The following is a 15,133-nucleotide window of genomic DNA, read 5'->3' as shown; positions in this document are numbered from 1 at the left end:
ATCTAACAAATAGCCTTGTTGTGAGGATTGGCAAATGATAAGCACTCAATTCCTCTTAGCTACTGTTATCATCTTTACTAAGCAGATACAATTATGCTCTGATCTTAGGAATTAGCTTTCATTTTATTTCCAGGTCTGCCAAAAAGCTAGTTACTGAATGTTGCCCCTGCGTCTCACTATTCTATTCTGTCAGATGCAGATACTAAAACCTTCCCTGGCCACCCTAACAGGCTGCAAGTATCAAAAGTGTGAATGTCGTTAAATGGATTATGGCTTTAGACCAAGAAGGTTCTTGAAGATCCAATTGTCAAACCCTGTATTTTCTGAATAAGTAACTTCAGGGGTCCTTGACTTGTTCTGGAGCTTGTCCAGGTTCACACATCAGCACTGGCACTTCCCAAACTTGACACGATTTCCATACCTACTTCTTTGACGGCACCATCCACCAAACAAAGACTTGTCAAATTATTTAAAAACTACCAGAAACATATGGGTAGTGAACAAGTTCAATTTATTACCTGTTGCACAGACAAATAACACATATCATGAGGAATCATGGGGTGTCTCAGTAAGATGGTAATAGAAATAACTTTCTGTAGATTTGGGGTTTAGGTTAGGTCATTTGGGAGAGGACAGAAGGAGGGGAGAGTTTGCCAAAATTAGATGCTGTCAGAAAGCTGGAGGCAATTATAAGATTGGGTATCTCAAAAAATCTCATCTGGATGGAGAGCTGACTAGAACAAAAATAAAACTTCATTAGTAAAGAAGTAGACATCACTCATTTTGGCCAAGAGAAGGGCTGTTTGGTCTTTTGTAGGTGGCATACTGATATTGATTTTGTCTGTGCTTCCACAAAATTACGAAGTATCCTTGCTTTGCTTTATTGTATCATAGTCTTGGAGTAACCTTGTCTGAATTGGTGTTCTGAGAGACAGCTCATGTCCAACAGGAGTATAGCACAGTCAGGCACTGAGTGCTCAGCCAACTTCCACACCAGAGGTTACTCTTGGTCTCCCTTTGCCAGAGTTGAGCTCTTTCTTCAACTGTACCACCTGTAATTAGTGTCAACTTGAGTAAAAATTTAACTTTTCTGAAACCCAGGCTTCTCATCTGTGAAATGAGGATGCTGCCATAAATATTGAATTAGGGCATCCATTTCATGGGCCTTGCACTATGGCTGATCCTTTCAATGGGCACGGTGACCATGAGTTTGTGCTCTCTCACTCACCACAGTAACAACAAATTTAACTCCTACGTTTTCCATGTTTCTCACATGAGTTTTCCCGTAGTTCTTGGATTCCACTGTTTAATTAAAGCACGCAAGTGATTGTCTCACTTCTCAGACTGAATTATCCGTTCAGAAGAAAACCATAAGAGAGACTCACAACCAGGTAACCCAGCTGTTCTCCCAGAAGGGAAACAGATCGAACATAATATTTCTGCCAGCATGAATTTCCCAGTGGGTTCATCACACATCCTGACTTTTTTACTTATTCAGTGCCACTGGGTCAGGTGTGAAAACTGCCTCCCTCTGTTTTGCTGTCTGCAAAGGTGGTCTGCTGTTACAGATCATCTCCCAGCTGCAAGGGCCTAGAGAGAAGGTGAAAATTATGGAAATCTGAACCTGCTGCTGAATCCTGGATTGTCAAAGGCCTTTGCTCCAATGTACTCAGAATTAGGAGAGCCCATGGTCTTGGCAGCTGGCCTGTGCTATGCTACCTGTCTAGTTACAGGCATATTTACAAACTGGCTGTGATGGTTAGTTATATACGTTAGTTTGACTGGGATAATAAATGCCCAGGAAGCTGGTAAAGCATTATTTGTGGATGTGTCTGTGAATGTGTTTATGGAAGAGATTAGCATTGGAATCAACAGACTGAGTAGAGAAGATCTGCTGACGCCACAGAGGGTGAGCATCATCTGATGCACTGAGGGCCACACAAAACAGCAAAGTGAAGGAAGGGTGATTTCTCTCCCTCTTCTTGAGCTGGAACTTTCATCTTTTCATGCCCTTGGACATTGGAGCTTCTGGTTCTTGGGCTTCAATCTCCAGAACTTACACCAGGCTTCCCCACCTAGCACCTCCTTCAGTTATTAGACCAGACTGAATTACATCCCTGGCTTTTTAGGGTCTCCAGCTTGCAGATGACACCCTTTGGGACTTCTTGACTTTCATAATCATGGAAGTCAATTGCCATGATTAATCTGCTCTTATATAACTATACACACCCTATTGGTTCTATTTATCTGCAGAAGCGTAACTAATAATTGGCATGTCTTGGTTCAAAGGGAGAAGGAGAACAGACAAAAATTGCATATTTGAATTTTTCTATTCTTTGTGCACTCAGTGATTAATTCATCTTAGAACACATTTAAAAGGTAATCAAAAACTTAGACTTGGAACACGGCCTTTGAAGTAAAGTCAATTCAAACTCCAGTATACCTCTATAACGACTGAGCAGGCCATCTAACTGGCATGTATGTTAATGTCTTCCTCTGCATAATGGGGATGATATATCCATATATTGGGCACTGTATGATCCACATAAGATGATCTATGTAAAGCATCTAGAACTGTGACCAACACATTGAAATAACTTAATCAATTTTAGTTGTAAACTATTATTAGCTTTGCTTGTTTTATTATTATTATATCATCATCATCATCATCTTTACAATTCATTTTTTTTCAGTTTACAGCCAGAAAAAAAGGTTCTGAGTTCCTAGTTTTTATTTACTACCTGTCTAGTTACAGACAGGTTAATTCAGGTTAATTATTCTGAGTTGTAGTAACCGCTTATCCCTCAAGAAAATGACAGGATTTAAAATAAATGTATACAAAATGTCATGTACTGTACCTAACAAATGGTAGTCTATCAGAAAATGGTACCTTATATCCTCTGCCATACCACTGAGATGGACATCACACAGCTGCAGTCTAGGTGGGTCTTGTAGGGGTTCAAGGTAAAATCCTACAAAACTAGCCCAGCCATTAGTGGGACCCATTCTCGGGCCTTCTTCCAAAGGGCTCTGTCCCTAAGAGAAAATAGCCTCTTCTTTCAACTGCAACTGGCACAGCTTTCATGGGCTAATGGGGAGGGTTTGGTCAGATGTTCTCCAAACCCAGGGTGAACTTGCCAAATAGTTGCTCGCAAGGCCACATTCCTAAAGAGGAGCTCATAAGGTAGTACATTGTTATAAAATTTGAAAAAGTAAAATATTTTAAGAGCAACCTATTAAGAATGCTATCTCCTTCTTTGCCACCTTCCCCTCTGGCATACTTTCTTCATTTTGGGTGGCATTGAGGTGGTGTGGGCACTTGGAGCTTCAGTGATATCTTTATATAGGTAAGTCTATGTCTAGTTAAGTGATTGCTAACATTCTGATGGAGAAATGCTTTTCAAAAATTATTCTAATGCCCAGTGGGCTGATCCTTCTAATGCCCAGTGCCATGGCCTGAAAGTGTTGGACCCAAAGCATGCTGCATTGGGATGTTCCTCTGGCACCCAGAGGCGGAATATGTGTGGGGACACCACATTCACTCTGGGCAGTGAACAGTTCTTCTCCCCTAAATTCTTAAATACACTCTAACAAGTCATTGCCATATGTTCCTTTGTTCAACTCATATGCAGTCTTATAAGAGTAAAAGCATCAGCTCTGCTTTAAAAGGAAACAGATGACATCTAAATAGGTGACAAATTTATGTAGGTATTAAGTCCCATGTCCTCCAGCTGGTACAGGGACTGACAGCCAGTAACATATTCCTAAATTATTAATAGATCATCACCAATAAGTAAAACAAAAAATGATGTTTGAGAAAACAACTCAATGAACCATCTTTCTATTTTTGCCATAGAAAACTATACTATAAAATTAGTAATATAATTAACGAAGATATTGTAAAAAATATGCAACTGGGCTGGGCATGGTGGCTCACGCCTTTAATCCCAGCACTTTTGAGGCCAAGGAGAGTGGATCACTTGAGGTCACGAGTTCGAAACCAGCCTGGCCAAAATGGGGAAATCCCATCTCTACTAAAAATACAAAATTAGCCGGGTGTGGTGGCACATGCGTGTAGCTCCAGTTACTCAGGAGGCTTAGACAAGAGTATTGTTTGAACCCGAGAGGTGGAGGTTGCAGTGAGCAGAGACCGCGCCACTGCACTCCAGCCTGGGCAGCAGAGGGAGACTCTGTAAAAAAAAAAAAAAGAAAAAAAAAAGAAAAAAAAAAAGCAACTAAAAATAATAGGGAAATAAAAAGACCATAAAAAATATGCAACTAAAAATAATGGGATTATTTTCTACAGAATTTTGTCAGGCAGTATATTAATATGAATATTATGTTATTTTTATGGATGTGGTGATATTTGCCAGCTTCTTAATTTGTAATTTTTGAGTGTGTTTTAATTCTATTTAAAAATTAATTGTTGTAAATTATTATTTATATTTTAAATACCTGTTCTTAAACAGCAACCCCCAAAAGAAACCTTGAGCACCCAAAAACCTGTATCCATGACTAGAATAGAGACCTTTGGCATGTTATCATTTTTATTAGCAGAAAGTGACTCGATATATCTCTTAAACATACTTAGATGGAAACGGCAATAACTGGTAAGCCTCTTAATTGCAACTGAAGTAGAGAAAGGGTAGTAACACCCATGTTTAGCTGAGGAAAATAAATCAGAAATAGCAGGCGGTTATGAGGAGAAGACTGTGATAAAGATATTTGGAAAATATGATCCCTCTTATCTGCTTCCACTGAATAATTGATTACAGTTTGAGTAATTGCAATAGTTGGCTATCTGCTCTCTCTGCTGGTTGTGTCTTTTCATCTATTCCATGCTCCTCACACCTACCAGACTCATCTTTCCAAAGTATACATTCACTATAACCACATTTTTTACATTTTGCAAAAGCATCTACTGGCTTCTATAGCACAGGTTTTGTCCTTTGTGTAGATTACAAAAAGACACACTTCCAGGTGGACAGAGCCCTACAGGCCCATGGCTTAGCAAAAATACAGCACCTTTGCACACACACACTCACACACACATGTGCCAGACCTAGGTTACAAGACTTGGCTTGGCTTATAGAACGTAAATAAAATCTCAAACTCCACTGCCCCCTCAGCCAGGTAAATAACACATTTAGCCACTTGAAGGGACATTGGAGACCCACCTGGCCTTGCCTAGTTTGCAGGTGGATGCCAAGCTCCTCATTATATTGCATGAGACCTTTAACTGCCTGTCAATCTCCGTTTCATTTGCTGTAGTCTAGACAAACGAAAGTAACTGCTGATTTTCTACGCACTTCAATTTCCCCATGTTTCATTGCTATGGCACAGGTTTCATAGCTTGTTATTGAATATCCCCAAGCCTGTTTTGATTGATCAATTTCTAAGCAGCCTGGAAACTCAGGTCAAGTATCTTACTCTTCAGGAAATCTACATTGTCTCCATGTCCAAGTGAGAGGTCCTTCTCTCTACACCAATGGCATGCTGTGTTCAGCTCTGCTGTAGTACTTAACGTACTGTATCATAATTTGAGGCTGATTTACTTACTGCATCAAATTCTGAATGTGAGCTCTTTTTTTTTTTTTTTTCTGAGATGGAGTTTCACTCTTGTCGCCTAGGCTGGAGTGCAATGGCGCGATCTCCAGCTCACAGCAACCTCCGCTCCTGGGTTCAAGCCATTCTCCTGCCCCAGCCTCCTGATTAGCTGGGAGTACAGACATGTGTCACCATGCCCGGCTAATTTTGTAGTTTAGTAGAGACAGGGTTTCTCCATGTTGGTCAGGGTGGTCTCAATCTCCCAACCTCAGGTGATCCACCCGCCTCAGCCTCCCAAAGTGCTGGATTACAGGTGTGAGCCACCGCGCCAGGCAATGAATGTGAGCTCCTTGAGGCCAATTTTGTATCCTTAGTTTCTTGCAGTGTACCTGAAATATCCTCATATTCACCATCATTACTAACATTTTCATCACTAGGATTTATTACAAAAAAAACAGTAACTTTCCTACTCAAAACACGGACATCAACACATTTCCTTATTCAATGCAAAGTTTTCTCACAGTAACTTCAAACACCACTCAATAATTTATCTAGACGTTAAGTATAATATCGTTAATTGATAAAAGTAATTTTGGTGCTTTTTAATACAGCAAATCTCTAGTGAGCAATAAAATCACTAGAGAGAATAAAATATGCAAACCCTTTTAATTTAACTGTAACTTCAGAGTCAAGTTAAATGTGGCGCTGCAGGGATAAGAGGCTGGTAAACTTTGGATGGATTATGGTTTATTTCATCATGGTATGTAACTTCATGAGGCACATTGATTCTCTCATTGCAGAAGAAGATGATGGTTTCTCATGCTTTTAGAAGTTAATGCCCTCTCATGGAGCCTCATCACCTATAACAGTGATTCTCATATGGCTGTATACTCCCTGCAGAGATGGAGGTGTTTAGATTACTAAATCAGCCATTAAACATGGGCCAAATGCCTGGGGTAACAATTCTATCTAAACATTTGCTGAAAGCAGATTATATTAAAATACCTATTAATCAACATAATTGGCCTCACATTTAATTTACATTTTAAAGAAGAAACATCAGACTTCAAAGAAATTGGCAACATTTGTCAGGTTGTTTGGTGCTGAGTTACCAGACTACCTAAAGTTATCTTTCCTCTGTCATTAGAAGCAATTCAGTGGAAAATATTGAGTATGCAGACCTATTGCAGAATATTTCAACTTCTCATCAAAGGATACCACAGTTTTCAAGGTATGGCCTCTGGCTACTTCCCAGTTTCAACTTTGTCACCAGCTCTTCACATATTATGTGTGCTTGGTCTCTGGAACTTACATTAAGCCCTTATGTACCAAATACCGGCAGGCTCATCCTTACCAACAAGCCAGCTGCACGCGCATGTGTGTTTTCATGGCCACGCCTCTAGGTATTTCCTGCTTGTCCCTGGATGTTTTATTCTGTCTTCAGAAAGCTGTGAATCTTCAATTCCATAGTGAAAACTTCACTTCCAAAAACTTGGCATCTTGAATATTTGAGCCGCATTTTTGCCTACATAGATTTTTTATTTTTATTTTCAGACCTACCACATTACAGACTTATACATGAGTCTCCAGAACTGTTCTCAGAGTTTCCTGCATTTATGTTTCCCCATCTTTCACTTTTTTGCTTTTGTCGGGGATTCTCCCCATCCCTTTTCCATTTCACAGGAAACTCCTACTTATTAAGGTGAGATTCTACACCAATGTTTCCCTTTCATGCTTTCTCCATACTCAGTGATCTTCGAATCTAAACTGGATTCCACAGCAGAATGGAACTCGCTTTTGCAATATTGGTATTTTCCTATGGCCCTCACCCAGTGGACTGTGCATTCTTAGCAGATGAAGACAACATCTCATTATTTTTGTGCTTTCAGGAACTAAGACAATGCTAGACACACAAATATCCACACACAAATGCACTGAAGAGAGAATCAGTGATGGTGTTAGTGTCAAGCATAATGTACCAAAAACACATACTGGACAGAATGGAAATCAACTGTAATTGTAGGATATTTGTTTAAATAGTGCCCCTGCTAAAATATATTTCAATATCTCCCTCTTGTGTTCAGTATAAAGTGTAAATCCCTCACGAGATACATTCTCCATATGTCCGCTAACACAGACATTCCTAAAGCTGGCTCCTTCCTGCTTCAATTGTCTTAAATCTTGCCAGTGGAGTTGTATGCTTTGACAAGATTTAACTACTTGCTATTTTAATTTTCAAAAAATCGCATTCTCTTCTAGTGATTCCCAGTATTTGCATAGACTGTATTGTCTCCTGGAAATGTCTTAGTTTTCGTCTTTACAAGGCTTAATTCTACTCATAAAATCCCTTCAGTGAAATCTCTATTCATATATTTTGTTCATTTTAAAACTGGATTTTTTTGTCTTATTATTATTGAGTTAAATAAGCTCATTTAGAATTCATTATAAATTCAGATGCAAGTCCTTTATCAAATATGTTTTACAAATGTTTTCTCCATTAGTCCTTTTATTTACTTCCCAGTATATTTTTTAGAATAAATATATATATATATATATATTTTATTTTATTATTATTATACTTTAAGTTTTACGGTACATGTGCACAATGTGCAGGTTAGTTACATATGTATACATGTGCCATGCTGGTGTGCTGCACTCATTAACTCGTCATTTAGCATTAGGTATATCTCCTAATGCTATCCCTCCCCCCTCCCCCCACCCCACAAAATATTTTTAATTTTGATAAAGTCCATGGTGGTTACTTTATTTCTGTTACAGTTTCCCCCACCCCCTCCAGTACCTAAAATACTGTTTGAAAACTGTTTGATACATAGTAGATACGCAATACATAATACAAATACTTTGAAAACTAAACAGTATAGTAAAGTTAGTATATTCAGCCTCACCAACGCTTATATCCGAAAGAACTACTGTTGGAACACAGGTGTGCATTTCTATAGGAATAAACTTTGCATTTCCTCTAAAGCAGAGATTTCATGTCCTTTTCAGTTTCCACAATTTTACAACCTAAAACACTGTCCAAGATGATTTTGACCTGGAAACATTTAAAAACAGGTGTTGAAGCCTGCTTCCTACTCTCACCCATGGGGATGAATGTCTGCTGAAGACAGTGGTTGGCCTTTAGAGCAAATCAACATATCAGCAACACAATTAGACTCTCTTTCTGGAATTTATTAGGTATAACGGCATATTTGTCTATTGAGAATGCTTGTCTTTCACATACTGAAACCTGGGTTCAGTAGATGCTATTTATTTGTATCTTTTCCTACAGCAGGAAAATGTTGAGAAAGGCAATTAGAGGTATTTTCAGATAAGTGGAAGACATTCTAGACCCAGAGAACAGCCAACAATCAAAAATTGGAAAGACTGGCCTGGCGCCATGGTTCACGCCTGTAATCTCAGCACTTTGGGAGATTGGTGGATGGATCACTTGAGGTCAGGAGTTTGAGACCAGGCTGGCCAACATGCTGAAATCCTGTCTTTACTAAAAATACAAAAATTAGCTAGGCATGGTGGCGGGCACCTTTAATCCCAGATACTTGGGAGGCTGAGGCAGGAGAATAGCTTGAACCTGGGAGGCGGAGATTGCAATGAGCCGAGATTGTGCCACTGCACTCCAGCCTAGGCAACTGAGCAAGACCGTATCTCAAAATAAATAAGTAAATAAATAAATAAATAAATAAATAAATAAATAAAAAAGGAAAGTTTGTAGAAAGGGTAAGATATAGGAACAACGAAGTATAATGATTAAAGTGATGTAAGTAGTTGAAGAATGAGGTTAAATCCGATAGTGACCACAGGTAACCAGGTGAAAGAACCCCGGCTCATATTAAAACTCATTTTTTAGGTGTAACTTTTAAAGAGGCTCTGAATTCTGTTTGTTAAAATGAGTTCCAAAATTTGTTAAAATGGCTTTATCCTTAACACATGTTTACAGTCTAGACGGTGAGTACTGGGAAGAATGAATCATGCCTGAAACTCAACTATGCCTCTAGAAATTACTCATATATTGTCACTCTGACATATAATTTGCATAACTTTCCATATAAGGTACCTTATAAGCTCTTGGGAAGAGCTGGTTAATATTCTCTAAATGAAACCATGAAGATTTTGTTACATATTTTTTTCTATTATCTATTCCTTTTCACCTTCCTCACTGCATTGACCCGGAGGCACTTACCCAAGGAAAGTGCCATGGGCAACACGGAGACTCAAGTGAATGCTGCTTAATGGCAAGACAAATCAATAAAAATTTTGCCGTAGCACATTGTGGACATTTATACAAGTTACTAGTTTCTTTTCTCAACTTTTGAGTATTGAGTTTACTTGACCTTTTACAGAAGGTTTATAGCCCCTGGCATCATATAATTTTATTAAAAGAGTCATAAGTCTATATTAATAATAATAATGACTCATTTATTAAATAAAAATATGATGAGTTGTGCTAATTGCTTCAATTGGATGATCCTATTAAGTCACCACCACCCAACTATGAGCAGGCACTTCCCTTTTCATTCTGTAAGGTGAGATAGGTATTGTAAACCAAAAATAAAATTTGAACCTCCTCTCACCTTCCTGCAACCACCTGAATGGACTTTCTCCTCGGCCACGCACTCTAAAATGTAACTTGAAAGACTGGTTCAGGCCATGACAGGAAATGAGGATTGGACGTGCCTCATTATACCTCTCCACCATTAACGTTAGTACAAACCTTAAGTCTGATAAGAAACATTTACGGGCTAACCTCTCTAAAGCCTGCTGCTTGGAGGTTTCATCTACATGATAAAACCTAGGTCTCCATAACTGATATTTTTACTGATAATAACTCTTTCAACCAACTGCCAGTCAGAACATGTTTATATCTACCTATGACCTGTAAGTCTCTTCTTCAAGTTGTCCCGCCCTTCCAGATGGAACCAATGTAAATCTTACACGTATTGATTGATGTATTAAGTCTCCTTAAAACGTATAAAAGCAACCTGTGCCCCCACCACGCTGGGCACATGTCATCCGGACCTCCTAAGGCTGTGCTGTGAGCACATCCCTAACCTTGGCAAAATCAACTTTCTAAATTGATTGAGACTTGTCTCAGGTACTTTTTTGGTTTACAACGTTCAACATCAAATGGTTAATATGTTGCTGAGCTGTGGTGTCTACATGAATCTGTCTGACTCTAGAACATGCTCTTAGTCTATCTGTCTCACCTTCCCAGGTATCATTTCTTCTAGCCTCATTACTCCCTAGGGAGGCCCAGGAAGGGGAGTAAATGACAAAGACCATAGGGTTTATCAGTGGCAGAACAGGAATCAGAGGCTCATCTGTTCAGTTCCATGACCATTGTCTTTCAACACTCTTTTCAGTTTCCTTTACATTGACATCATAAAGTATTGCATCACAGGGTTTCTGAGTACCACTACTTAACACTTAAGGTTGTACTCACTATGTGCCAATTCTCTAAGTCCTCCGCATGGGTGAAATTATTTAGTCTTTGCTACCAGCCTGTAGGTAGGTACTCTTATCACTACTGGCATTGCACAGGTGGGGATTTGAGGCATGCGATGGTTAAGCAATCTACCTAAGGGCACATAACTAGTGAATGGTAGATTTAGCATTGAATCCAGGCAGTCTGAATCTAGTAGATGCGCTTTTAATCATTTAGTTGGGATGCTTCTATTTCAACTTTAGCTAATAGGTGGTGGGACTGCTTCCGTCATACTATAATGTGAGGAGAAATAGGAAAGTCTGTTTAAGTGTCTTTCTCGTTTGATTTGCCACATCTTAAATATTTCCCATAAAGTGACTCAGATCTGAAGCAGAACAATCCTTCATCCAGGGAGACCAAAGAGGAAAGCACTGTGGTTGAAACCTGCTATTGCTACATACTAGCACTGGTGATCTTCAGCAACTAACTGGTGAGCTTCACCAATTGACTCGCTGAAGCTCAGTTTCTACAGAAGCAAAGATCTTGCTCTGCCTACTTCCCAGTTTTGTCTAGATGAGCAAATAAAAAATTGTTTAAATATACTTTAAATAAAAATATAAACATAAAAAGGCTATCATTTATCATTTATACTGTCATTTATATTGCTAAATTATTATATCAATTTAGCAGTATCAGTACCAATATGGTTGTTCAAGACACTAAGTACTCCTCTCAAAATGCAACTTGGTGTAGAACGTATTGTTTTACACAAATATAATCAGTTAAAGATCCATTAAGCACTTTGATATTTTATCTTCTTTTTCTTTCAATGAATTTTTTGAGAGCCTAAAGCATAAGATTGTTCACTTCTTAAGACCAACTTAACATTATTTAACAGATTGGGAACTTATACTATAACATTTAAATTCAGATAAGACATTGAGGACTAAACATGCTTTTTCTTCCAAAGGGAAGACTTTGTTTCCTTGTGAATATTGTCTTTATGTGCTGAGTACAGTATAGAGCACTTGGTAGAAGTTCAGTGGGTGTTTCTTGAATGGAATGAAATAAACATTCATCCAAAACACACAGTTTTTCTCCATGTGTTTATCATAAGAGCATTTACTATCACTAGAGAGGAAACCGGAGATGTATTTTAATATTATGTTCCAATTTCTAGAAACAAATTTGTGTCCAATTACTGTTTAAATTAAATTTCAATGTTTATGCCTCATGTTCTTCATGCTGATGGAACTATTGGATATGACTTGAATTAAACATGAAGGATGTCACTCCGTACTTTAAAAAGTCATTAGAGATTTAAAGGCCAGTTGTCTGGGGTGATTTTTGAAGTCTTTCCATCACTGGGAACTTTTTTCTGAAGTCAACATCAGCATTTTTCATGAGTTGTTGTTGGAGGGAGGAGAAAGCAAAATTTCAAACGCTGATGGTATTAGCCACACAGATTTTATTCCATCTTTTTCATTCCCTTAGCCTTGATTTATCAGTATTCTTGAGATTTCATTAGAGTTTTACTAGTTTGCTTCTGTCACAGAATAACTTTTGACTTTGTTAAATATAAATTAATACTTAAATTCAGGAGAAATAATGAAAATATTTTGACTTTGTCTTTCCATGTAAAAAATATAAAAAATGTGGCTGTCATGAAGTCATAATTTTCCCCAAATCTTTTACTTAGATGGTAGCGGGGCTGAACCGTAAAGTTACTGTTTTTTGGTTCCCAGTTAAGAGTTCATTTTACTACAACTAACCTTATTTTGGATGCCATGTTCATGTTTTCATGTACTATTAAAATATCTCAAACCTCTTCATCACATTAATTCACAAAGCAACTCCTGCAGGACACAAACATACACACACACACACACACACACAAACACACACACGCACTTAAACAACTTTTTACTTTAAAAGACATCTGCAAGTGTCCTTTGTGCCAAGGACTGCACAAAGTAAATAAAATGTTATCTCATTTAATTTGTATACAAAATAGTTGAGTGCATTGTGTTTTTTCTGATTTTATGAATGAGAATAAAGTTTTCTGATTTATGGCTGAATAAGATAAAATATCTTTCCAGTATCATGACTGGCAATTACAGACACAGTTACCAACTATGAAGTTTGTCACTGCATATGCTTCATACTGACTCTCTTTCCTACAATTCCTTATATGTCAGGGTGTTGCAGAGAAATCAGAATCCAGGGATTGTGTACTTTTGTCATATGACAGTTTGTCAAAGCATTTGGAGGTATAGGAGCTGGCTTCAGGAAGGAAAAATTCCAAAAGTCACCAATCACTGTGTTTTAAATATCTACATTAAATGGCTATAAAAGATATAACTAAGACCAAACTATCTACTTTTTATGGAGATGAATCCTGGCTCAAGTTAAGAAGTGCTTCCTGTTTAAGCATCAAGGGAATGAAACCAACTGTTAGGACACGCATTCCTTATTATCACAGGCTTTAGAGTCTTACAATGTGATTTACTTTCCCATTTGTTCCTTTTCTCCTTCCTATTTTCCTCTATTCCACAAAGCATTTCTGTAATGCATACTATGTGCTGAGCTGTGATTGTGATTGAGAATAAAGGCAAGAATTGCTTCACGTTTCTCAAAAATTATCAATTCAGTGGTGGGTACAGATCCACCAATAATTGCAACAAGATGTGGCACATGTAAAGATAAAGATGTACAGAGAAATTCAAGAACACATGTAGAAGAAGACTTCATGGAAGACGTAAAGTCAAAGCTAAGACTAAATGGGTTATTAGGGGTCATTCAGAGAAAGAAGAAACAACCAAGGAAGGTGGGAGTTCTGAGGAGAAGAAACGGACAGGGCAGTTGCAGCCACCTAGGATGCCTAATAATGTGTGAGAGGCAAGACAGAAAGGAAATTAACACAGAAGAAAATGCTAAACTGAAATATTCATATTTATGTATACCTATGAATTCTTTTTGCCTTTGCTGATTTTGTTAACCTTCTTAGAGCCCATGAGCTTCTTTTCAGGACTTCTTCAGTTGAGAGTCAAATTGCTGTTAATCAGCTGCTAAGAAGGATAGCCATTCTCCCAGAAGATGTAAAGAGAGCCAGGATGTGAGAAACAAGTTTCTTCTAAATTGAACATTAAATAGATGTATCTGATTTCTAAATTACTGATCATGTGTGCAAATTCATCAAGCAGAAGACGGAGCTGTTTATACTCTGTGTTCATTGGAATATCAGAAATTTCCTTGCAAAATAGCCTCATAAACTGCAAAATAATATAGGATATTTTACTATTCTCTGGCTGTATGGAAGAGCAAGAAAAGCTCAAGTGTTGAAGTCACCTAGTCCTTCTCAAACTGTGTCCCTTTGTGAATTATCTTTTCTTATCTTTCCTTTTCTCATAGGCAAATATGACAATAACATTCAACTTTTCAGATTAGCAGAAAATTCAACCAAATTCTTTTCTGTATAATGTCTCCCAAAGAATATTGATCCCCAATATTTTTAAGTATAAATATATATACTTAAACATAATAAAATATATTTTAAAAATTCTACTTTACCCAAAGAAAATAACAGAGAATATTAAAATATTAGAGTTAAAATATTTTTAGAGAACATTTAATCCTCCTGATGTATTCATTCATCCATTCATTATTTACCAATAAGTTCATTTGGTAAATATAATTGATTTCAAAGTGTTGGACACTGCATGTGCCCAAAGATACAACACAGGTTTCATATAGAGGACATCGCAAAAAGAGATAAATATTATTCAGTGCAAATATTATTCTTGTATGCCAAGGCATGGCACATAAAACAATGAGTAAGCCCCTGTGTTATCAGGTCAGCTGCTAGGTTTGGGGCAGGTGAGTTAGGACAAGTTTTATCTTCTATAAACAGAGGACTTCAAGCACCTTCAGTAATTAGGACTCCTATACCATGACAAAGCTTAATGGTAAGAGTGTTAGTTTAGACAAAAATAGTGACTGAAGTAGCAATTCCTTCTCTTCCTCCTGGAGGCCTGCTAAGGTGCCCTCTGTCCAAATATCTCGCTTCTCTCCCATCTTAGCCCCTTAATCTGAGGTTACAGTGCCAAGGCAGTAAGACTGAAGGTTCTGGAAGAATGGTCAGGA

The 15,133-nt window shown here is 37.9% G+C and overlaps 2 long non-coding RNA genes across 2 annotated transcripts in view; both read right to left on the bottom strand.

Moving 5' to 3' along the window:
• The window catches only part of LINC02055 (long intergenic non-protein coding RNA 2055), a 366,804-nt gene that overhangs the window by 81,419 nt on the left and 270,252 nt on the right, over positions 1-15,133 (bottom strand). The gene's annotated exons all lie outside the window — the stretch shown is intronic.
• On the bottom strand, positions 6,278-10,976 carry LOC124902073 (uncharacterized). Its single transcript, XR_007061191.1, has 2 exons — positions 10,773-10,976; positions 6,278-6,441 (listed from the first exon to the last, which is right to left on the bottom strand). It is a non-coding gene; the product is annotated as an uncharacterized LOC124902073 (long non-coding RNA).

This window comes from Homo sapiens, chromosome 8 (assembly GCF_000001405.40).
Source record: "Homo sapiens chromosome 8, GRCh38.p14 Primary Assembly".
Lineage (NCBI taxonomy): Eukaryota > Metazoa > Chordata > Mammalia > Primates > Hominidae > Homo > Homo sapiens.
The sequence above is the reverse complement of the archived record's forward strand: the minus strand, read 5'-3'. Positions and strand labels throughout refer to the sequence as shown.